Source organism: Homo sapiens, chromosome 2 (genome assembly GCF_000001405.40).
Source record: "Homo sapiens chromosome 2, GRCh38.p14 Primary Assembly".
In the NCBI taxonomy this organism is placed as follows: domain Eukaryota; kingdom Metazoa; phylum Chordata; class Mammalia; order Primates; family Hominidae; genus Homo; species Homo sapiens.
In genome coordinates, this window is record NC_000002.12 from 161,734,414 (window position 1) to 161,760,866 (window position 26,453).

Below are 26,453 nucleotides of genomic sequence, written 5' to 3' on the forward strand. Positions count from 1 at the left end.
CTTGCCACTGCCATGTAAGAAGTGCCTTTTACTTCTTACCATGCTTCTGAGGCCTCCCAAGCCATGTGGATATGTAAGTCCAATGAAACCTCTTTTTCTTCCCAGTCTCGGGTATGTTTTTATCAGCAGCATGAAAATGAACTAATACAAAATGTATTCATTTATTTTGTACTCTTTAAATCTAGTTTTATCTATTTTTTATTTGAAATTATCTTAAAGTAACTTTTAAACGAGACACAATTAGTTTTAAAATAAATACTCATTTTATGTCTTTATAACTTTTCGTTTACCAAAAACATATCTTGTTTCTCTTTATATACTCTGTATATATATTTTTTTTCTGATATTTGGTAGTTTTAATTACATATTGATATTGTTTGGCTCTGTGCCTCCACCCGAATCATATCTTGAATTGTATTAATACCTCTATGTGTCAGGGGAGGGACCTGGTAAGAGTGATTGGATCATGGGGGTGGTTTCCCACATACTCTTCTCATGATAGTGAGGGAGTTCTCATGAGGTCTGATGGTTTTAAAGTTTGTGGCAGTTTCTCCTCTCTCTCTCTTGCCACCATGTAAGATGTGCCTTGCTTCCCTTTAAACTTCTGCCTGATTGTAAGTTTTCTGAGGCCTCCCAAGCCATGAGAAACTGTGAGTCAATTAAACCTCTTTTCTTTTTAAATTACCCAGTATCAGGTAGTATCTTTATAGTAGTATGAAAAAATATATATATTATACATATATATAATATACATATATTAATTAAAATTTTAACTCTTAGTAACCTTACTTTTTAGTGAAAACATAGGAAGTAAGTAATTTTGAACTGTTTTATATTAGTATTTGTAGATGAAAACCATCTTATAAGTTTTTAGAAAGACATATTAAAAAATTCTTTTTCATTAGCAAATCTAAATATATTTAGGTTTTTATACCATTTAAAAATAAATGTCAAAGTACATAAACTTAAATTTATTTTTGATAATTAATGTTTTAATATTTTTACTTATAAATGACTCAGACATTTCATGATTATCTATTACTTAATTTAATACAATATGATCTTAGGATTTTAAGTTACTGAAAATAATTTTGAAAATATGACACAAGTACCCTTCCTAATGCCTTCCCCAGTCATGCTGGGTCTTAAATAACTATATGGCATCCAGGACAGCTATGAAGGGCAGGGCCCATCTGGGTGCCAAGTTTATATACCAGGTGTAGAACTCAGGACAGAAGACAGCTATGAAGATGATGTCTGAAGGATCCAACCCTTCGTAGAATGGCCAGGAACCAAAGCTAATCCCAGGAAGAAGTGCCATACTCGGCTTGACTCTGTCCTTTAGCTGGTGATCAAAGCACTGAGGACATGTCCCCAGATCTTACCATGGCCAACTATCAGACCTCAAAATCTAGAGGTTCAAAACTAAAAATATAAGCTTACAGTCAAATTAAGTATCAAAAATATTAAAGAAGTAGTAGTTTCATGACTTTAAAACATGTATCAGAGGTAGTATAAAATTGTCTGACCAGTATATGCAGACAAAATGTCTGAATTATATTTAACTGACAATTTTGAAGTCATTTGTATTTCGTCATAATAACAATTTAAAACTAGCTTTATTTATCAAGTTTTATGTATACATAATACATAGAGACATAGACAAAAATAGATTTTATAGTTTTTATAAAGAATTTTTATTAATTGGCTTTTAAATATATATTTTTTCTTTTTAGATGATTAATCTTTTATTTATCTGTTTTATTGCCCTAAGTAATTGATAGGCAATAATTTGTTTTTAAAGCAATGACTCTTACATGAAACAAGATAAAAAATCTGTACCTTGAAAGCACAGAGCTGAGACTTCAGGCCTAAATATTGTGCTATTATTTGCTCAAATCAAAGAAAAAGTTTTTATATAAAATCCCAGTTAAGACAAAATGACCAGAAAAAGCTCATTAAACAAATGTAAGACTTTGTATTAGTCCTTTCTCACACTGCTATGGAGAAAAATCTGAGATTGGGTAATTTATAAAGGAAAGAGGCTTAATTGACTCACAGTTCTGCATGGCTGGGGAGGCCTCAGGAAACTTACAGTCATGGTGGAAGGGGAAACAAATGCATCCTTCTTCACAAGGTAGCAGGAAAGAAAAGTGCTGAGCAAAGGGGGAAAAGCCCATTATAAAACCATCAGATCTTGTGAGAACTCATTCACGATCATGAGAAAAGAATGGGGGTAACCTCCACCATGATTCAATTATCTCTCATTAGGTCCCTCCCATGACACATGGGGATCATGGGAACTAAAATTCAAGATGAGATTTGGGTGGGGACACAGCCAAACCATATCAGACTTGTTATGTAAATTTAAAACAATTGTAAGAGTTTCTAGTCACTCAGTCATCTCTCTTAAACATCCTTATAAATGGAAGTATTATTATTATTATTGTTATTATTGAGACAGGGGTCTCACTCTGTCACCCAGGTTGGAGTGCAGTGTGCAGTGGCACAATCATTGTTCACTACAGCCTTGACCTCATGGGCTCAAGTGATCCTCTCACCTCAGCCTCCAGAGTAGTTGGAATTACAGGTATGCACGACCATGCCCAGTGATTTTTTTTTTTCCATGGAGACAGTGTCTCACCGTGTTACCCAGGTTGGTCTTAAACTCCTGGGCTCAAGAGATCCTCCCACCTCAGCTTCCCAAAGTGCTTTGATCACAAGTGTGAGCCACCATGCCTGGCAAAATTTTCTCTATAAATGTAAATTTTTTTACAAAAGGGTTTTCATATAGCCAGCTAAATGTTAGAAGGGTGTACTTTGAACACTGATTTAGTTTAATAGGTGGTCTTTTTAACTTAGTTTTTGCCTTTTAGTTAAAATTACTGAGTTCAGTTTGGAACCCATCAGGGAATAGGGTAAAGAAACGATTCTCTATGTCTGGACTCAGCATAGATAGCTTTGAAAAAGAAGAAAGCCTACTTTTTATAAATACTTTATACAGAATAGCTTTTTTTTTTTGTCATTGGGTAGTAACAGCCAAATGTTTAGTGGATGTAGTTTTTCTTATTAATTAATCACTTGAGATTTTTATTTGTCTTTCATAAAGTCTTTTAAAAAAATAAAGAATAAAAATATTAAAATCTTTTTAGAAGCTTTTCTACATCAATAGGCATTCCTTCATGGGCCTAATTCAGGAGCCCTCATTTAAAAATGTACTTTTACAAGTACAGTGTTCATTTGGAATGTTCTACTGTAATTTTAAATTACTTTAGTAAGCTTTTTCAATTTCTATAAGCATTTGCTGCTTTTGAGGCCTAATATGCATGTAAACATAGGTGTAGCTGGTAGGTAGAGTGGGTAGAGTTCTTTAGAAATAAGGTTATTTGCTTTGGTTCTCAGATCTCCTTGATCTACTTAGTCAATGATTTTTTCCCCACCTAAACATGCAAGGAAAAGAAACAAAGGGGATAGAACACGAAAAACATGAATTTCTGAAAGCCAGAGTTGGCACATTCTGCAGCATTTCTATTTACTCTCAGTTTCTGCCTGACCTAGTCAGACATTTGAGGCCTCTAACTGGATCCAGGTCAGTTAGTTTTCAGGTTTATTCTGATCCTGGATCCAGACCAGTTTCTGTTGTGACTTCTGAACAAGTTTGGATTAAAAAAAATTGTTCAAACAACCATGGACAGCCCAAAACACAAATCTGTGGTGCTTCAGAATTTGAGAGAGAACTTATTTATGATCCCCAAGCACTGTAAGAAACCAATGGACAAAATGGGCTGGAAGGTACTTCTTTTTGTTACTTGATGATCCTGGGGGTCACTAGAAGCTCTACTTGGGATCCCACTTCTGACACTGACTGTTAAAAACTTTAGGCAAATTATATTTAACAGGATTTAATTTAGCAAAGAACAATTAACAAATTGGGCAGGCCTCTGAACCAGAGTAGATTTAGAGAGACTCCAGCACTGTCTCATGGTTGGAGAGGATTTATGGACAGAAAACAGAAAATGTTGCTCAGAAAATGGAAGTAAGGTAGAGAAACATCTGCATTAGTTATAGTTTGGTGTTTGTATTATTTGAACAGTTGTCTGCCTGTGATTGGCCAAAACTTTGTGATTTGTACAAGAACAGATTATATAGTTTGTTTACATGTCCAGTTAGGTTACAGTTCACTATGTATGGAGAAATTTTTAGGCCAAACCTACAAGAAGGAAGCTTTAGGCTAAACCTGATTTAACAAGTGTTACTGTAATATTGGATTTCCCTTAATTCCTTACTCGTTTAGTCATTCCTTTACCCTCAGCTTCTATTCTTTTTTCTCTTCATTTGTAGCCAAACTTTTCCACCTTTGGAGAGGACATTAGGTTTAGCCACTGTGCTTGTCTAGACTGCAAACAGCAGTATCAGTCTAGCAAATGCCTCCCTCTTAGTCCACTCCCATTTAGATAGGGCAAGGTTATGTAAGTGCAGAACTATTGGGCCATCTTCACTCTCAGGCAATATATAGCTACATTCACTTTTAGCCCCAATTTTGCCAGATGGGGTGAAGATATAAACCCACCTCTATCAGGCCCTCAGGAATTCTAGCATAAGATTTAAAAACACAGTTACACTTTCTTTTTTAGGAATAATTTATGTTTCCACAAACTGTAGTTGATCCTTGGCCCTAGGACCACTGCATCAAGTGGGTGGGTGGGGGGAACATGATATGGGGAGGAAAGAAAAACAGTAACATCATTATACTAGCATCCTCCTTCCTTGATAAGAATTGCATAGTCATACTTGCATCCTTCGCTACCCTCTTTTATCCAGATTAACCAGAAAAATGGAGGAAAATCTAGTGGGAACACTCTTTTAATCCCACTCCTGTTGAGTGTGAGCACACACTTTTGAAGGCATGTAAGCTAGTCTTTCATGCTTTTATCGCCTCCTATTTTGGCCAACCAATGTTTTAATTTCCCATTTCACTTCTCTATCAAACTACTACTCTAGGAGGAGATTTTCTTGCCTACTATGGGACATTATGGGCTGTACAGTGTGTTCCTTGGTTCCGTATGTCTAAAGACATATGGTTGGCCATCCAAATTGTGTAATATTATCTGTGTTTTTAATAGCACTCTGAACATTTGCATCTTCTACCAGGTAAGCAAAGCCCAGTCCAGAATCAGTGACTACTCCTATCAAGATCCATTTTTAGCACCCCCATACTTACCGGCATCAATCTCACCTACCAACTGTGTTTAGGGCTTCCCCAATAGGAGTGTAGCCCCATAGCCATAAGCAGTCTCTGTGTCTTTTGCTGGCAGACAGAACAGTTCTTATTGGCATTATGTGCTTGAAAAGTTGCAAAAGGAACATACTTGGATTGAGCTCATCTCTGCATTATTGCAGTACCCCCATTTCATGGACTCAGGTGGCCACCTTAAATTAGCACCTGCTGATAGCTGCTTGACTTTTAATCCTGGAAGGGGCTCTTTCAATGGACATGTTCTGCTTTAATGAACCTCTCAAATTTCCATAGGGTCATGCCTTATATGGGCATCCCTTCAATAGGCCAGGTTCCCAGCATCCTCTTGCCTGAGTGTATGACCAGGCCATTGGCTACTGCCCACAAGTCAGTAAAAAGCCAAAGACAGGCTTTTACCAGGGTTTTGATGTTCAATTCTTTCATACTGCTAGAAAACAGCGTGCAGTTCAGCCCACTGAGCTGATTTGTTTTTAACTTCTTTGATCAGTAGCATCCTTCCAAATAATATGTTGTCTGTTCACCTTGGAACTCCTATCCACAAACTAAGCAGCTCTTAATTGGTCAGTTGAAAGGTACTTATAGGGCACTGTAGAATCCATCAGCTCCTCACACAATTCCAGAGTCAGTCCTAGTACACAAGTCCAGAGTCAGTTCTAGCTCCCTGCTTGTATCACTTCCTTGCATTCCCAGGTAGCATGAACCTATATAGACCATTTCCATTTTATTATGGAACTCTTCTGGGCACTGTCATTCCCATTAGAGTATTTCTCTGACATCACCCAAGACAGCATGGGTATTTCTGGTTTCAAGATTATTTTATGTACTTCATTCATAGGGGTAGCTCTAATTAATGTTTGATAGCAAGGTATTAAATGCCCCTCAAATGGAAATTCTCTAGTCCAAAATCCCAGGAGTTGTTACTGGGAGGTGCTCATAGGCTTTTGCTATAAGCTTAGGCCTAGGCTCCACATAGGCCTATGGCACAGAGAATTTCTTCATTCTAGCATTCCAACTTTTATTCTTCACTATGTGGTCTTGGAAATCTTACTCATTCCCTTTTAGCATCTCCAATTAATATAGCTTAAAGGGCAGATTTACATGCTTGCTGTTTTATGATACTAGGTAGTGAAAACATTCCTTAGATACAATTTCTGTATATGTTTTAGGTGCCCAGTCAGGGACAATATCTATATATGTTTAAGATATATTAAGATGTTTTAATATACATAGTGAAATGCTTACTACGGTCAAGCAAATTAACATATTCACGAATATCCCTCACTTCAAATAGTTACCTCTTTTTTGTGTGTGGCAAAAGCACCTAAACGGCCAGGTACAATGGCTCACACCTGTAATCCTTGGCAGGCCAATGCAGGCAAATTGCTTGAGTCCAGGAGTTCAAGACCAGCCTGGACAACATGCTGAAACCGTGTCTCCACAAAAAATTAGCAAAGTGTTGTAGTGGGCACCTGAAGTTCCAGCTACTTGGGAGGCTGAAGTGGAAGGATTCCTGGAGCCTGGAGATGGAGGTATAGTGAGCCGTGATCATGCCATTGCACTCCGGCCTGTGTTACAGAGAAAGACTCTCAAAAAAAAAAAAAAAAAAGCACCTATCCACTACAGTCCTCCGCTCTACCAACTGAGCTATCGAAGGCTCCGCTAAAAAAAAAAGCACCTAAACTCTACTGTTAGCAAAATTTCAGTGTACAATACAATATTATTAACTTTAGTCATACTCTACATTAAATCTCTAGACTTATTATTCATCTTACATAACTGCAAGTTTGTTCCATTTGACCTACATCTCCCCACTTCTTCCTGCCCAGCCCCACTCCCATAACCACCATTCTGTAATGCTGTTTCTGTGAGTTTGACTTTTTAAAAAGATTCTACATTTAAGTGTAAAAATGCAGTATTTTTCTGTGTCTGGTGTTTACCTAGCACAATGTACTCCAGGTTCATCTGTGTTGTCACAAATGGCAGGATCTCCTTTAAATTTTTTTTATTTTTAATTTTTATGGGTACATAATAGGTGTATATATTTATGGGGTACATGAGGTATTTTGATGCAGGTATACAATGTGTATTTGGCACATCAGCGTAAATGGAATATCCATTGCCTCAAGCATTCATCATTTCTTTGTATTACGAACATTCCAATTGTACTCTCTCATTATTCTAAAACGCACAACAAATTATTGCTGACTGGTCACCCTGTTGTGTTATCAAATACCAGGTCTTATTCATTGTATCTAACTACATTTTTATACCCATTAACCATCTTCATTCCACCTTTCCCCTTACCTACTACATTTTCCAGCCTCTGGTAGCTATCATTCTCCTCTCTATCTCCATGAGTTCAATGATTTTAATTTTTAGCTCCCATAAATGTGTGAGAACATGTGAAGTTTATTTTTCTATGCTTGGCTTATTTCACTTAACAATGTTCTCAAGTTCCATCCATATTGCATCAATTCACAGGATCTCATTCTTTTTTATGGCTGAATAGTTCTCCATTGTGTATATATACCACATTTTCTTTATCCAGTCATCTGTTGATGGACACAGGTTGATTTGAAATCTTGTTTTGTGACTAATGCTGGAATAAACATGGGATTGCAGATACTTCTTCAATATACTGATTTCCTTTCTTTTGGGTTTATACATAGCAGTGAGGTTGCTGCATCATATGGTAATTCTATTTTTAGTTTTCTGGGAAACCTGCATACGGTTCTCCTTTCTTTTTTCTTTTCTTTCTTTCTTTCTTTCTTTTTTTTTTTTTTTTTTTTGAGACTGAGTCTCGCACTGTCGCCCAGGCTGGAGTGCAGTCGCTGATTTCGGCTCACTGCAACCTCTGCCTCCTGAGTTCAAGGGATTCTCCTGCCTCAGCCTCCTGGGTAGCTGAGGTTACAAGTGCACGCCACCAGACCTGGCTTTTTTTGTATTTTTAGTAGAGATGGGGTTTCACCATGTTGGCCAGTCTGGTCTCAAACTCCTGACCTCAAGTGATCCTCCTGCCTCTGCCTCCCAAAGTGCTGGGATTACAGGCATGAACCATGGTGCCCAGCTGGGTTCTCCTTTCTATACATCCTTGCTAGCATTTGTTATTGCCTGTATTTTGGATAAAAGCCATTTTAACCGGGATGACATGATATCTCATCATACTTTTGGTTTGCATTTGCATTTTTCTGATAATCAGTCATGTTGAGTGTCTTTTTACATACCTGTTTGCCATTTGTATCTTCTGTTGAGAAATGTCTACTTAGATCTTTTGCCCATTTTAAAATTAGATTATTAGATTTTTTTTATTGAGTTGTTTGTGCTCTTTATATATTATGGTTATTAATACTTTGTCAGGTGGATAGTTTGCAAATATTTTCTCCCATTCTGTGGGTTGTTCTCTTCACTTTGTTGATTGTTTTATTTGCTGTACAGAAGCTTTTTAACTTGATGTGATCCCATTTGTGTATTACCTGTTTTGGTTGCCTGTGCTTTTTGGGTATCACTCAAGAAATCTTTGCCCAGACTGATGTCCTGGAGAGTTTCCACAATGTTTTCTTTTAGTAGTTTCATAGTTTCATGTATTAGATTTAAGTCTTTAATCCATGTTGATTTGATTTTTGTATATGACAAGAGATAGGGGTCTAGTTCTATTCTTCTACATAAGAATATCCAGTTTTCCCAGCACCATTTATTGAAGAGACTGTCCTTTCTCCAATGTATGTTCTTGGCACCATTATCAAAAATGAGTTCACTGTAGATGTATGGATTTATGTTTGGGTTCTCTATTCTGTTCCATTGCTCTATGTGGCTATTTTTATGTCAGTACCACACTGTTTTGGTTACTATAGCTCTATAATATAATTTGAAGTCAGGTAATGTGATTCCTCCAGTTTTTTTTGTTTGTTTGTTTGTTTGTTTTTGCTGTGGACAGCTCTGACCATTCTTGGTCTTTTATGGTTCCATATACATTTTTGGATTTTTTTTTCTATTTCTGTGGAGAATGTCATTGGTATTTTGATAGGGATTGCATTAAATCTATAGATTGCTTTGGGTAGTGAGGACATTTTAATAACATTGATTCTTCCAATACATGAACATGGAACATCTTTCCATTTTGTGTGTGTCCTCTTCAATTTCTTGCTTCAATGTTTTGTCTTTTTAATTGTAGAAATCTTTTACCTCTTTGATGAAGTTTATTCCTTGATATTTTATTTGTAGCTATTTTAAATGGGATTACTTTCTTGATTTCTTTTTCAGTTTGTCTGTTGTTGGCATACAGAAAAACTACTGATATTTTATGTTGATTATGTCCTGCAACTTTCCTGAATTTTTTAAATCAGCTCTAGTAGGCTTTTTTTGTGGAGTCTTTACTTTCTTTCCAAGTATAAAATAATCTGCAAAGAAGGATAATTCTATTTATTCCTTTCCAATTTGGATGGACTTTATTTCTTTCTCTTGCTTGATTGCTCTAGCTAGGACTTCCAGTACTATGGTGAACAACAGCAGTCAAAGTGGGCATCCTTGTCATGTTTCACATCTTAGAAAAAAGGCTTTCAATTTTTCCCCATGTAGTATGATACTAGATGTGGGTCTGCCATATATGGCTTTTATTGTGTTCAGGTATGTTCCTTCTATACCCAGGTTTTTTGAGGATTCTTAACATGAAGGGATGCTGAATTTAATCAAATTCTTTTTCAGTATCGATTGAAATGATCATATAGTTTTTGTCCTTCTCTTTGTTGATATGTGATGTATCACATTGATCAATTTGCATTTGTTGAACTATTGCTGCATCCCTGGGATAAATACCAATTGGTCATGATGGATGAACTTTATAATGTATTGTTAAATTGGATTTGCCAGTATTTTGGTGGTATGTTTTAATTTTTTGCTTTATATTTGTTTTTGTATCTGTTGTAGGATTTTTTATTTAAAGCTACTATGAGGCTTGTAAATAACATCTATAACCCATTATTTTCAATGGATGACAACTTAACTCTGACTGTAAACGCAAACAAACAAAAAAAGGAAAAGCAAAGAGAAAACTAATAAAAACTCCACACTTGAACTTCATCCTCCTTGCTTTTTAACTTTTTGTTGTTTCTATTTATTTCTTACTATGTCATCTATGTCTTAAAAAGATATTGTAGTTTTATTTTTGATAGGTTTATCTTTTAGTCTTCTTACTCAAGATATAAGTAATTTACACACTTCAATTACAGTGTTGTAATATCCTGTATTTGTCTGTTACCAGTGAGTTTTGTACCTTTAGGTGATTGCTTGTTGCTCATTAACATCTTTTTCTTTCAGATTGGAGAATTCCCTTTAGTAATTTTTTGCATGACAAGTCTTGTGTTGACAAAAATCCCCCAACTTTGTCTGGGAAAGTCTTTATTTCTCTTTTATTTGAATATTGATATTTTTCTCTAGGTTTGGAAAGTTCTCTGTTATCATCTCTTTGAATACACTTTCTATGCCAATCTCTCTCGCTACCTTCTCTTTAAGGTCAATAACTCTTAGATTTGCCTTTTTGGGGCTATAGTCTAGATCCAGTAGGTGTGCTTCATTATTTTTTATTTTTTCATCTTCTGACTCCTCTGATTGTGTATTTACAAATAAGCTGTCTCAAGCTCACTGATTCTTTCTTCTTCTTGATCAGTTCTGGTGTTGAGAGACTCTCGTGTTCTTCAGTTTGTCACTTGAATTTTTCAGCTCCAGAATTCTTCCTTAATTCTTTTTAATTATTTCAATCTTTTTGTTAAATTTATCTGATAGGATTCTGAATTCCTTCTCTGTGTTAGCTTGCATTTCATTGAGCTTCCTGAAAACAGCTCTTTTGAATTCTCTGTCTGAAGAGTCATATATCTCTGTCACTCTGGAATTGGTCACTGGTGCCTTCTTTTGTTCTCTTGGTAAGGTCACATTTTCTGGAATGGTCTTAATGCTTGGGATATTTATTGATGTCTGGGTGTCGAAGAGTTATGTATTTATTCTAATCTTCCCAGTCTGGTCTTGTTTGTTCCCTTTCTTTTTGAGAAGCCTTTCCAATTATTCAAAGTGAATTAAGGGTTGTAATCTAAGTCTGCAATTGCTGTAGCCATATCTGCATTAGGGGAAACACCAAGCTTGGTAACACGGTGGCTCTTGCAGACTAAAAGAGGTACTGCCTTGGTGGTGTTGTGTAAAATCTCAGAAAATACCCTGGACTACCAGGCAGAGTCTCTTGTTCTCTTCCCTTACTTTCCCACAAACAAATGGAGTTTCTCTCACAACCTTAGGCTGAGCTGCCTAAAGTTGAAGGAGAAGTGATTCAAGCACTCCTATGGCCACCACTGCTGGAATCTTGTTGGGTCACCTCTGAAGCCAGCGCAGTACTGGGTCTCTCACCAAGCCCTGTGGTGACTATTTCCTGACTACTGCTGATGTTTGTTCAAGGCTTAAGAGCTCTTTAGTAAGTAGGTGATGAATCTTCCCAGGACTGGCTCTTTCCTTTCAGTGCAGCATGTTCCCTTCTGACCCATGGTGGATCTAGAAATGCCATCCAGGAGTTAGGGCCTGGGTTTGGAGGTTTAGGAATATCCCTGGTGATTTATTTTACTGGGGCTGAGCTGGTACCCAGGCTGCAAGACAAAAGTCCTCTTTACTTTTCCCTTTCCTTTCCTCAAGCAGAATGAGTCTCTTCCTGTGGCCACCACTACCCCAGGCCTGTGATGACTACTGCACGACTACTGCTGATGTTTATTCAAGGCCCAAGGACTACTTAGTCAACAGGTCGTAAATTCTGCCAGGCCTAGGTCTCTCACTTCAGGGCGCAGGTTCCTTCTGTCTGTGGCAGGTGTTGAAATGTCCTCTAGGAGCTGATACCTGGAATTGGTGACTTTAGGAGTCAGCTTCGTGCTTTATTTTACTGTGGCTGAGCTGGTACCCAAGTTACCAAAGTCCCTTTTACTCTTCTTTCCCCTTTCCTCAGCAGAAGAAGTATCTCCCTGTTGCCACCACAGCTGGGAATGTGCTGGGTTACACCTGAAGCTAGCATGGTACTGGGTCTTGCCTAAGGCCTAAGGAAACTGCCACCTGGCTTCTGCTGTTGTTTATTCAAGGCCCAAGCACTCTTTAGTCAGCAGGTGATGAATTCCAGGTCTGGGTCCTTACTTTCAGGGCAATGGGTTTCCTTCTGGGTCCGAGTCACTCTAGAAATGTTGTCGAGAAGCTACGGCCTGGAATGGGGGTTTCAGGACTCTGGTTAGTGTTTTATTTTGCTGTAGCTGAGCTGGTATCGCAGTTGCAAGCCGAGGTCCTCTTTACTCTTCCCTCTCCTCCCAGAGCTTCAAGCTGTGATGCCTGGATTTGGGGGAGGAGTGACACAAGCATTCCCTTGGCTGCCACAGCTGGTGTCTCAGTGGGTTACATGCACCCCAAACCTACTGGCTCTGAGCCCAGCACAGCACCAGGACTTGCTTAGGAATTGCAGCCCTTGTAGCCTAGACTGCCTTTCCAGTTTATTTAGGAGCCCAAAGCACATTAGCCCACAGTGGTGGGGCTAGCCAGAATTCAGGTTCAGACTGCAGAGATGGACAATTCCCTTCTGGCTAGGGCTGGTCTAAATGTTCTCTCTGTGGGTGCTGGCCAAATTCCGCCTTGTGTTGTTTTCTGCTGTGACAGGGCAGCACTGTGTTCCAATGCAAAGTCCCACAATCACTTTTCCTCCTCTAAGCATATAGTTTCTCTGCATCACACTGCACTGCCAGGGGATGGGGGAGGAGTTTTGTCAGCAATTCAAGACTGCTTTCCTGTGCTGTTCATTGCCTCTTTTCTTGGTATGATGTTAAAATCAGGTACTGTGATTACTCGCCTGATTTTTGGTTCTTATGAAGGTGCTTTCTTGTGTGGGCAGTTGTTCAACTTGGTGTTCCTGCGAGTGGGATGATCATTGGAAGGTTCTGTTTGGCCATCTTGCTCCACCTCTGTCTCCCCCACCTTTTTTTTCCTGGAAGACTGAATGTTATTCTGTTATTCTATTTCTATCACAAAACACTTAAGTTGTTTCCATATCTTGGCTATTGTGAATGCTGCAATGAATATAGGAGGGCAGATATCTGTTTGAGGTGTTGATTTTATTTTCTTTGAATGTACACCTGGAAGAGGGATTGATGGATCATATGGTAATTCTATTTTACTTTTTTTGAGAAAAGCTCCATACTGTTTTCCATAATGGCTGTATCAATTTACATTTCTACCAACAGTGTACAAGGCTTCTCTTTTCTCCACACCCTCACCAACATTTACCTTATGTCTTATGTCTGTGGATTGATATCTTATTGTGGTTTTGATTTGCATTTTTCTGATGATGAGCACCTTTTCATATATCTGCTCGTCATTTTTATGTCTTCTTTGGAAAAAATGTAATTTCAAATTATTTGCTCATTTTAAAATTGAGTTATTTGGGGGGTTTTTGCTATTGAGTTGTGTAAGTTCCTTATATATTTTGGAAACCAATCTCTTATGATGAGACATATGATTTTCAAATATTTTCTCCCATCCTGTGGCCTGCCTTTTTTATTGTGTGGATTGTTTCCTTTGCTGTGCAGAAACTTCTTAGTTTCATGTAGGTCTACCTGTTCATTTTTGCTTTCTTGCCTAAGCTTTTGGTTTGATATCTAAAAATATCACCAAGCCCAATGTCAAGGAGATTTTCCTCTTTGTTTTCTTCCAAAAGTTTTGCAATTTTAAATCTTACGTCTATGTCTTAAGCCATTTTGAGTTTGTGTGTGTGTGTGTGTGTGTGTGTGTGTGTGTGTGGTGTAAGATATGGTTCCAGTTTTATTCTTTTGCATGTGGATATTCTACCATTTGTTGAAAAGACTGTTCTTTCCACATGGTATCTTCTTGGTTGCTTTGTCAAAAGTCAGTTGAATGTGTATGTCTGGGCTTATTTCTGGACTTTACACTCTGTTCCATTGATACATGTCTGTTTTTGTGCAAATACCATATGGTTTTGATTACTGTAGTTTTGTAATATAACTTAAAATCCAAGAATTGTGATGCCCCCAACTGTGTTTTTCTTTCTCAAGATTTCCTTGGCTATTTGTGGTCTCTTGTGGTTCCATATGAATTTTAGAATTGTTTTTCTATGTGTATGAAAAATGCCACTGGAATTTTGATAGGGGTTGTGTTGAATCTGTATATTGCTTTGGGTAGTATAGGCATTTTAAGAATATTAATGTTTCCAATCCATGAACATGCGATGTCTTTCCATTTAATTGTGTCTTCTTCAATATTTTTTTAACATTTTATAGTTTTCAGTGTACAGATCTTTTAGTTCTTTGATTAAATTTATTCCTAAGTATTTTATTTATTTTGATGCTATTGTAAATGAGGTTGTTTTCTTGATTTTCTCTCAGATAGATTGTTTTTAGTGTAAAGAAATGCAACTGATTTTTGTGTGTTGATTTTGTATTTTGCTACTTTACTGATTTCATTTAGTCATTCTAATAGTTTCATGCTGTGGATTCTTTAGGGTTTTTACATATAGAATTATGTCATCTATAAACAGGGATACATTTTCTTTTTTCTTCCAATGTGGATGCCTTCTATTTCTTGTCTAATTGCTCTTGCTACTATTTTCAGTATTACATTAAATAGAAGTGATGAGAATGGGTATCTTTTTCTTGTACCAGATCGTAGAAGAAAAGCTTTCAGTTTTCCCCAGTTGATTATGATGTTAATTGTGGACTTTTCATAAATGGCCTTTATTATGTTTAGGGAATTTATGTGAGAGTTTTTATCATAAAAAGGATGTTGATTTTGTCAAATATTTTGTCTGTATCTATTGAGATGATCATGTGTTTTTTTATTTTTTATTCTGCTAATGTGATATATCACATTGATTTATCTGCATTGGTTAAACCACCCTTGCATCCCCAGGATAAATCCCACTTGGTTGGTCATGGTGTATAATCTTTTTGATGTGTCACTGAGTTCCATTTTCTAGTATTTTATTGAGGATTCTGCATGTATATTCATCCAAGATAGTGGCCTGTAGTTGTTTTTTGTTTGTTCTTGTGGTGTCTTTGTCTGGCTTTAATATCAGGGTAGTATTGCCTCATAAAATGCTTTTGGAAATGTTCACTCTATTTCTACTTTTTGGATGCATTTGAGAAGGGTATATACTAGTTTTTTGAATGATTGGAAGAATTCAGATGTGAAGCCATCTTGTCTTCTTTGTTGGGAGATTTTTGATTACTACTTTATTATCTTTATTATTGGTCTGTTCAAGCTTTTTATTTCTTTTTGATTTGGTTTCAGTAGGCTTTATGTTTCTAAGAATTTACCCATTTCCTATAAGTATTCCAATTTGTTGACATATAATTGTTTATAATAGTCACTTGTGATCCTTTTTATTTCTGAGGTCTGTTATAATGTCTTCTCTTTCATTTCTGACTGTATTTATTTGAGTCTTCTCTCTTTTTTTCTTAGTTAGTCTAGCTAGGGGTTTATCAATTTTCTATATTTTTTCAAGAAACCACTTTTAGTTCGATTATTTTTTCTGTCATTTTTGTTTTCTCTATTGATATATTGTTTGTCTCATCTTTATTATTCCTTCTCTCTGCTAACATTGGGTTTAGTCTGTTCTACCTTTTCTAGTCCTTGAGGTCTAAAGTTAGGTTCATTTGAGATCTTTCTTCTTTTTTAATGTAGGCATTTATTGTTATTAATTTCTCTCTTAGTACTGTTTTTGCTGCATCCCATAGGTTTTGCTTTATTTTCTTTTGCCTTGAGATATTTTTAAGATTACCTTTTGATTCCTTCTTTGTTTCAGTGATTATTCAAGGATATGTTATTTAGTTTCTACATATTTGTGGATTTTCTCATTTTATTCCTGCCGCTAATTTCTGGTTTCGTGACATCGTGGTTGGAAGATACTTGGTATAATTTGTCTTCTTAAATGTCTTAAGACTTGTTTTGTGACCTAACATGTAATCTATACTGGAGAATATTCTGTTTGTGCTTGAGAAGAATGTGTATTCTTCTGCTGTTGGGTAAAAAGTTGTGTATATGTCTATTGAGTTCATTTGGTCTGTAGTGTTAAGTTTGTTGTTTATTTTCTGGGTGTTCTATCTATTTTTGAAGGTGGGGTGTTGAAGTTCCATACTATTATTTTATTGCTATCAGTTTCTTCTTTCAGACATGTTAACATATGCTATATATACTTAATTACACTGACAGTGGGTCTATATATATTTATAATTGTTATATTTTCTTGTGTATTGACCTTTTTATTATTATGATACAACTTTCTGTGTACCTAGAGACAGTTTTTGACTTAAAGCCTACTTTGCTCTGAAATAAGTATAGCTACTCCTGCTTTCCTTTGGCTACCATTTGCATGAAATATCTTTTTCCATCCTTTCAATTTCCACTTATACATGTCCTTGAATCTAAATTGAGTTTCTTGTAGACAGCATGCGGTTGGATCTTGCTTATTTTTTGTTGTTGTTGTTATTTGTTTGTTCGTTTTCATTCAACTGCTCTCTATCTTTTCACTGGGGAGTTTAGTTCATTTACATTTAAATAATTATTGCCAAGTAGTATTTACTGTTGTCCTTTTGTTATAGGTTTTCTGTTTGTCTTGAGGTTCTTTTGTCCCTTTCTTTTTTAACTGTCTTTGTTGCATTTTGCTTTTTTTTTTTTTTCATATATTGCTAGGTTTAATTACTTTTCCTTTTGTTTTTGTATAACTTCTTCAGGTATTTTGTTGTGGCTTTCATAGTACTTACATGAAATATTTTATAGTTATAATAGTCTATTTTAAGCTGAGAAAAACTTAATTTTTCCTGCATGTAGGAACTCGCCTTTTATTCTCCCCTTGATTATATGCTACCAATGTCACAATTCTCAGAGGGAATTGATCATATATAGATATTTATTGAGTATATTTGTGGGAGGAGGGAAAGTCATAGACCTCCTATTCCGCCATCTTGCTGGCATCACCATCCTCCTTTTTTGGGTCTTTTATTACTATTATTATTGCAAATGCCTTTTTAATTAATCTAATCTCTTTTGATTCTGTAGAAAAATGTCGTTAAGTTATATAGGGTCCTCTTATCCTTTCTATTAAATGAAGACTTTAGTGTCATAGATTGGGTAAAAGAACAGATCTTCCAAGTAGGAGTTTTCTTAATTAAATAAATGAAATTCTATTACATTAAATGCATACACGTTTACTCAAGTACATCTTTATACAATCCTAACCTCCCTATGTCTCAGACCCTTTGTTAATAAATTGTATGAATTGATTAGTTTAGCTAGAGGCCTTAGCTAGTCATACATAAGATCAATTCACTTTTTCTTGCTCACCCATTAAAGTGGAAACCTTTTTTGCTGCTAAAGAAATGGAGGGTTGGGTTAGTATTTACCTTTGAAAAATCTGATTCTAATTGTTTATCTTTCAAGAAATATTAGTTAATTTCCAAAAAGGAAGTACATCTTGTGTTAAGTGCTGACCTATCTCACTTGAGTAGGTTTTACATGTACCTTCCATAATTTATTGCTTTCTGGCTCCAGTAAGGACCTATTTTACTTTATTTATTATTATTATTTTTTTGCCTTATCTAATTAATCCTCTCTTGAAGAAGAGGTCAAGAGGATGAAGCACTTGTATTTCTTTTGGCCCATGAAGAGCTCAAATTTAAAAAGCCTTGCCATATCCTTCTTAAGGTGATGAATGGTAGTTTAAAATCAGATGGCTCTTCATCTCTGAACTAAACGCATGGGCCTCTGTTTAAAGAATTTCTCACCATATGATCCAGCAATCCCACTTCTTGGTATATATCTGAAGGTTATGAAAGCAGTATGTCAAAGAGATATAAAATATAATTCTATGCTCATTGCATTATTCATAATAGCCAGGATATAAAATCAACAAATATGTTATAAACACACAATGGAATAATATTCAGCCATAAAAATAAAAAAATCTTGTCATTTGCAAAAACACAGATGAATCTGGAGGGCATTATGTTAAGTGAACTAAGCAAGGCACAGAAATACAAGTACTGCATGATCTCACCTATATGCGGAATCTAAAAAGTTGAACTCATTTAAGCAGAGAGTAGACTGGTGGTTACCAGAAACAGGAAGAATATCCTGGTGGACAGGAGGATAGATATATCATGGTGACTGTACTTAATAACAATCTATTGTGTACTTGAAAATTGCTGAGTTGATTTAAGTGTTTTTACCACAAAAAAATGACATATAAGGCAGTGTGTATGTTAATTAGCTTGATTTAGCCATTCCACAATATCTACATATAGCAAGATATGTTTTACGCTATAAATATATACAATTATATTTGTCACTTAAATAAATAAAATAAAATTAGCATCAAAAAGGAGGATAAAATGAAGTATTTCTCCTATGCAGAGAAACAATTTATTTACAAAGCATTAAATTATAAAACAATTCATAATCTTTGCTCATATGGCATAAAATATGAGTCTCACCATGATATTTATTATGCAGATATACTCTCTCTTTTCAGCTTCATTTTTATACTTTCAGTGGGCACCCTGAGCTTTAATAATCATATCAAACAATTGGAGCTCCCCAATTAAGCAATTAAGCTAAACTTTTTTCTGTGTCTTTATGTGTGTGCTGATCACACTGACTTATTTCCCATTCTTTACACTATTTCAAAAACTCTTATCTCTTCTTCAAAATAGCCTGACTCAATTTTTCTGAAGATTTAAATTTAGCCAAATAACATGGGTTTTGGAGTTAGGCAGATCAAAGTTCAAATTCTGCTTCTCCACTTACTGGTTCTATAACCTTGAGCAAGTTACTCAATCACTCTAAGCCTCAGTTTCCCATTTGTAAAGTGGAGACGATATCCTATGGGGTTTAGTGAGATGGAATTTGAAAAGCACCTAATATTGTCATAGCTATTAGTAGTAGTAGTGGTAGTAGTAGTGATAATCTTAACGTTTGATGAAAGAGTGACCGATGAAGAAATTATCAAACTTTACTTGTTATTTCACTTTCCTTCTGTAAACTACATACATCTATAAATTGCAGGCAGAGATTCTTACATAAAACTCTCAAGCTCTTAAAAAGCAGCCCTTTCATGAAACTTCAAGGTACTTCCATTTTAACAGCTCACTTTACTGTTAAATAACTCGAGTTATTTATTTATTTATTTATTTATTTATTTATTTATTTATTTATTTATTTTTGGGACAGAGCCTTGCTCTGTTGCCCAGGCTGGAGTGCAGTGGCGCAATCTTGGCTCACTGCGATCTCTGCCTCCTGGGTTCAAGTGATTCTCCTGCCTCAGCCTCCAGAGTAGCTGAGACTATAGGTATGTGCCACCACACTCAGCTAATTTTTTTGTATTTTTAGTAGAGTGTGAGTTTCACTATGTGGCCCCGGGGTTTGGCTAGGCTGGTTTTGAATTCCTGGGCTCAAGTTATCTGTGCCTCGGCCTCCCAAAGTGCTGGGATTACAGGTGTAAACCACTGCGTCTTGCTGACTTCTTGAGTTGTATTGTCGACTTCTAAATAGTGCAACCTCTAGTTTAATCTCAGGGACTATTAAATGGCCTGTAAATAGCCCATAAACAGATTTAGATTCCAAGTGGGAGGGTGAACATAACACTTTTTAAAATTGCAATAGAATTTTTCTATAAAACAGCTCTGTGACAAAATTAGGAACCATGAACAACAAAATTAATTTTTTTGGGCTGCTAGGGTAAAGGACTTTGGAAAAAACACTAAATATCAGACTCTGAGACATTGTTCTCATATGAATTATGGCTTTTTGCCCAAAATGTGTCTTCTTCAAGGCAGAAAAGGAATCAAAATTTCTTCTCATTTACTTGATAGGACAGTGGTGGCTAATTGCATCTGGCTGCTTGCCAATCATGTGATTGACTGAGTCACAAGGATGTAACATTTCTGTAGGATTTGAAGTCATTTGTCTGTCTTTGTTTTTCCTATCCCCCTTTTCTCCACATGATTAGGAATAAATTAGATATATATGCAATGCATTTGAAAGTATTATTTTTCAAGTTACTACTATGTAAGAAAATAAGGTATATTCTTATATATACTTTCATGCATATAATTTTTTATGTTTTATCTATTAAAAGAGCTTTTATTCATTGGAAATAGCAAGTTCATAAGGAACAGGATTTATTTTTCAATACTTCACATTTTTAATTACAAATGCAACTACTACCTGCTCAATGTTAAGGAATTTAGCCTGTCAAAAGCAGGCAAGTTGGCACTTATCAGATGCAGGTAAAAACTTGAACCTAGACACCAAAATAATATAACTGACAAAATTTCCATGTCTCCTGAACTTGTTCTTTTTAGTGTTCATTAGATATGAAAAATATCATTTTAAAGCAAAGAACTGACTCATACAAAAAAAATAAATTATACATCAGACTCATTGAACACAATTTTTGCTACAAGGAATTTCGCTTAATCGGTATGCAGTTTTCCCCCTAAATTTCTTCCAGATCTTTCCTCTAATTCTTCTTTGCTGTCATTATGGGCTTCAGAGAACTGTTTATTTGCCTAAAGGAAAAAAGCTTATATTCATATCACATTAATTCATTATTTCATTTGGTATGTGTTTTCCAAACTGAGATTAATTTCTTTTACAAACTACAGAAGACGGAGGAATCTGAAGGGGAGAAGAAATAGAAGCTGTGTTGTGTGACTAGCTGAGATTTTTGGCTTAACCTTTGGGAAGTTGAGTTTTCTCATCTTTAAAATATGGATCATAGATTAGGTGATTTTCAAGGGTTCTCCAGCAGCCATTTTCTAAGTCCATTTTTCTAATAGTTCTATCTGTTAATTTAAGCCAACACCACCCTCTCTTTTCTCACATACTCACAAATATCCCTTGGGAGCATTGAAAGTTTTCATTCCTTCTCTTCCCATGATACTGATCCTGTCTTTTAGAGATTTTACATTTGTTTTTCTCACAATTCCAATATCTTCATCCCTTTAGAATACTTGCTCTCATTTAGCTATTTCTGTGCCAAATACTATTTTCTTTACTGTCTGTTGTCTTAACTCGTTCCTTAAATTTTTTTTTTTTTTTTTGAGACGGAGTCTTGCCCTGTCACCTAGGCTGGAGTGCAATGGCGCAATCTCGGCTCACTGCAACCTCTGCCTCCCAGGTAAAGAGATTCTCCTGCCTCAGCCTCTCAAGTAGCTGGGATTACAGGCCTGTGCCACCATGCCCAGCTAATTTTTTGTATCTTTAGTAAAGACGGGGTTTCTCCATGTTGGCCAGGGTGATCTCGAACTCCTGACCTTGTGATCCACCCCCCTCAGCCTCCCAAAGTGCTGGGATTACGGGCTTGAGCCACCGCACCTGGCCCCTTTAAAAAGTTTTCAAAATGTCATTTTAAAAGTATGCTGTACCATTTGATTGAATTTTGATGGTGTACTTTTAAGTAAGTGTTCACGTCTTGATGCAATAGACACCAAAGATAGTAATTTATTTATCTTCTACATGCTTTTGTTAAATTTTCCAGTATTTAATCTCTACAAATATGGATATTGTAAAATTATTTATATTAGTGAGAAATTACATACAAATCTAAGTTGCCAATATGAGAGGAAGAATTAAACTATATGATATTAACCTGATGAAATAGTATGCAGCAATTAGAAAGTATGATTTTTGAGAAGTATGAATATGACAATGTTTGTTTTCTTATTAGTTAGGATCTACTAAGTTGTATTGCATAACAACTGTAAATTATCTGTTGCTTAATGCAATAAAAGTAATTTCTTGCTCATACTACATTTTTAGGATGAGTCAGGACCACGATTATGGACTTCTGTTCCACACAGTCACTCAGAAATCCAGGGTTACATAGATTTTATAGCTGCACAATTTGGGCCACCTAATCTCCTTGCCCACTGTACCTGGGAAGAGAGGAACATGGAGAAGTCAAACCTTCTTTCCTGTACTTTGGCCCAGATGTTACATATGACATCACTTTTGGTTATACCTCTTGGGTCATCACTATTTCTCTTCCTACAGTCCAGGAAGAGAAAGAAGACAGCATGATACTGTGAGTATTAATAGTATAAGCCACAATTGAAGTTTAAAAGAATCAAAATATATAACTGTATGTGCATATATATTCTTATAGACATCAATTAGGGAAAGATATGAAAGATTATAAGATTTCAGAAAGAGATCTGGAATGTTATTTTGTCTATTTAGAATTTTATTATTGCTAATGTTATTTATGTGGCATGTAAACGAGAAAAAAATCGCTAAGCTTTTGAGAAAATGAGGCAGTATGTGCACAACAGAAAGAAGATGAATTTTCAAGTCAGCTCACTTATAAGCAAAAGCTAAACATTGAGTAAGATGGACATAAATATGGGAATAATAGACACTGTGGACTACTAGAGGGTGGGGAGCTGGGTTAAAAAAGCTACTTAGAGAGTACTGTGCTCCCTACCTGGGTGACAGGATTCCTACATCAAATCTCAGCAACACGCAGTATTCCCATGTAACAAAACTGCCCATGTACCCTCTATATCTAAAATAAAAGTTGACATTAAATAAAGAATTTTGATTCAAATCCTGACATTGTTTCATCTTAATTGGGCAAGTTATGCTGTAATACAAGTCATTTAACCTTTTTAAATTAAGCTCCTGATTCTTCATCTTTGAAGTGGGGATCAAAATATTTAGATTCTAGAGCTCTTGGGAGGATTAAATAAGATAAAGTATGTTTATTTCACTAACACTAATATAGAACTCCCAGATAGCATTATAACCGTATTAGCAACATGTAACTCATTTACTCTTCATAACCATAATATCCAAGTAAGTAACATAATCCCAATTTTGTACATAAGGAAATTGAGGCACAAAGAACTTGCTTAAAATCACGTGGCTAAATAAGTAAGTGTCAGAACTGGATGTGAACCTTGGCGGTCTGGTTTCAGAGCTTTTCTTACTACCACTCTACTGCCTCTTATAAATCTAAGCTTAGTGCCAATTGAAAGTATGAATTCAATACATGGGAACTATTTGTAGCTACAATGCTAACTACAAATTAGTTTTAGCTGTTTCTATCATATGCTAAGTAGAGGAGATCAGGTTAATTACATATATTTTCAATAAATGAAGTTCTTCTAAATAGAAAAAATTCCATCATCTCAATTACATACAAACTTAACCCAAAGAATAAATAATTTTTGGTCTTGTGAAGAGAATAAATAATGTAGGAAGTTTAAGAAGTTATTAATCAAGAATCCTACGTATATTTTTACTCACCCATTTTCTATTCCCTCATGTCTCATTTCAAATCTGATTTCATTTTTTCCACGTTATTTTTATTTCCTCTTCTATATCTTTTGAAATTTGAGATATTTTTAGTATTTGTATAATTAAGAAAGTTATTTTGCTTAAAATTGCAATGAAATGTAGTGTCATTATTTTAGTAAATTACATGTATACTAATAGTTCTACTACTTTTTAAGTTATATGATAAAACATATCACTAATAAATAATCATTGAGGTTAAAGAACAATCCTGATTAGAGCTGTTACTTTGCTTTTTAAATTAATTATGTAAACACTACAGTTTTCATAACTTATACCTGAAATACAGTATTTTTTCCACTGCTTGTTTTCACTTATCATTGAAGTTCATCTCCTCATGTTTTATTTATCTCCCTCCTTATATAAAAAAATCTTGAAGTTTCCCAATTTGTTGAATCCATAAGCGTTTCAAATATTATTTTATTATTTCCACTCTGCTTTGATTTGTTGGTTTTACTTGTATCAGGAAACTTCTTTCCATCTTCATTTTGAAATTATTGACTGTTCAAATCTAATTTACCTGTAAATCATTAAACTAACAGACACTTTTGGCTTATGTAGGTCAACTCAGAACTGTCCTAATTAATGATAAGAAGGCTGAACACTGTGTAGTATTCTGATATTGTAGATTATTACAAACTTACAAAGGGCAACATTTTATTAATGATGGAGAGTGTAGAACTTGCTAATTGCATTTAAAAATATATGCATCTATCCTCATCCCCTTCTTACAATTGACATTTATGTCTCCTACCAGTCCATAGTATGTAAACTTTGTCAGGAATGGAGAAGGATACTGATATTTGGGAGCATTACAAATGATATGATCTTAGGTTGAAGCAAAGATAGGTACTTGAATACAAACCAAAATATGACCCTTACTTTCATCTAGAAAACAACTTAATTTAAAATTTCAAGTATTTTACAAATAAAAAGGATCTAACAATCATAAATTTGATTTTAAACTCATTTTATTTTATTTAGGTCCATCAATTTATTGGCTCAGCATTTCATCTTCCACCTTAGATATCCCTTCTGGGATCATTTTATTTCTTCTTGAAGCGTATACTTAGAAATTTCTTTAACAAGGGTGTCTTGGTTGGAAATTTTCTCAGTTTCTGTTTTATCAAGTGTCTTTCCCCAGCTTTATTGAAGTATAATTGACAAATAAAAACTGTGTATATTCAAGGTGTACAGTGATGATTTGATATACATTGTATAATGATTACCACAATCAAGTTAATCAATACATCCATCAGCATACATAGTTACGTGTGTGTGTTGTGTGTGGTGCGAACACTTAAGACCTACTGTCTTAACAAATTTCAAGTAAACAATACAATATTATTAACTATAGTCATCATGCTCCACATTAGGTCCCCAAAACTTATTCATCTTATAACTGAAAGTTTGTACATTTTGACCAATATCTCCCCATTTCTGCATGCTCCTCAGTCCCTGGCAACCAACCTTCTACACTCTGCTTATATGATTTTGACTTTTATTTAAGATTCTACATATAGGTGAGATCATATAGTACTTGTTTTTCTGTGTCTGGCTTATTTCACTTAGCGTAATGTATATCTGTTGATCATTTTTATGTCATCTTTGGAAAAATGTTTACTCAGGTCCTATGCTCATTTTAAAATTAAGTTCTTTAAAAAAAATTTTGCTATTGAGTTGTATTAGTTTCTTATATTTTTTGGATACTAACCCCTTACTCCTTACCAGATACATGGTTTGCAAATATTTTTTCCCATCCTATAGGTTGCCTTTTCATTTTGCTGATTGTTTCCTTTGCTGTGCAGATTAAATGTCTTTCTTGAATGATAGCTTAGCTAGGCATATACTTCTAGAGTAACAAAAATTTTTCCTAGAGTAACAAAAAAATACAGATATTATTTTATTGTCTTGTTTCTTCTGTTTTGTTATTTTGTCATTTCTTTGTAGGTGGCTTTTTTCCTGGATGCTTTAAAAATGTCTCATTCTACTGTTTCAAATAATGTGTGTGGGCATGAATTTTCTTTCACTTTTCTTGTTATGATTCCTGAATCTGAGGATTCATGTCCTCTATCAATTCTGGAAAGTTCTTACATATTATTTTAAAATAGCACTCCTTCACTATCCATTCTTACCTTATGCAATTTCAGTTTCTCATGTTAACCTCCATCTCTTTAGTTATTTCTTTTGAATTTTTTATATTTTTGTAATTCTGTGCTATGTTCTGTGTAATTTCTTTAGATCTTTTTCCTGGTTCCCTTATTCTTATATCATCTTTCCAGTTAACTGTTTTGCCCATCCATGGAATTTGCAATTTTAAGAATTATATACAAATACATATATACATATAATTTCTCAAAGTTCTACTTTTTTACATCAGGATTTTCAATCCTGTCCCAGGGTTTGAGAGAAGTTTTCTTTCCAGGCATTGAGATTTTAAGGAGAACCAAATCACTAGCTTGGCAGTTTAGCAGCAAATCTGTCTTGCTCTGGGTCCTGCTCATGTCTTTCTCCCTTTTTCAAATAACTCAGCTCTTGTTTTGATACTTATGACTAAACTATCACTTTTCCCCCTTGTCAGCCCAGCAAAGATTCATTTATCTTTTAAAAATCAGCTCAAGTGTCTCTTTCAGTGGAGCCTTTACTGACATTATCTGAAAAAACTAACAATCTTTATGATTGAGTGTCACTTATTGTATTTCCTTCATAATACCATTGTATTACTGCACTCATATCAAGTCTATAATCTCTCTGAGGATGGAACCGTGTCCTAATGGTTTTTGTGGCCCCAATAGTACATAAGAATATATCAATGGATACGTGG

General features: G+C 35.2%; 1 protein-coding gene across 25 annotated transcripts in view, besides 1 other annotated feature; it reads left to right on the forward strand.

Moving 5' to 3' along the window:
* SLC4A10 (solute carrier family 4 member 10) overlaps positions 1–26,453 on the forward strand; it is a 360,855-nt gene that overhangs the window by 109,998 nt on the left and 224,404 nt on the right. The window lies entirely within an intron of this gene.
* Positions 12,177–12,677: an enhancer, noted in NCBI's record as "H3K27ac hESC enhancer chr2:162603100-162603600 (GRCh37/hg19 assembly coordinates)". NCBI's record gives its function as "activates a minimal SCP1, AML or CMV promoter by ChIP-STARR-seq in naive H9 embryonic stem cells {active_cell/tissue: H9 hESC(naive)}" and the evidence as "EXISTENCE:reporter gene assay evidence [ECO:0000049][PMID:30033119]".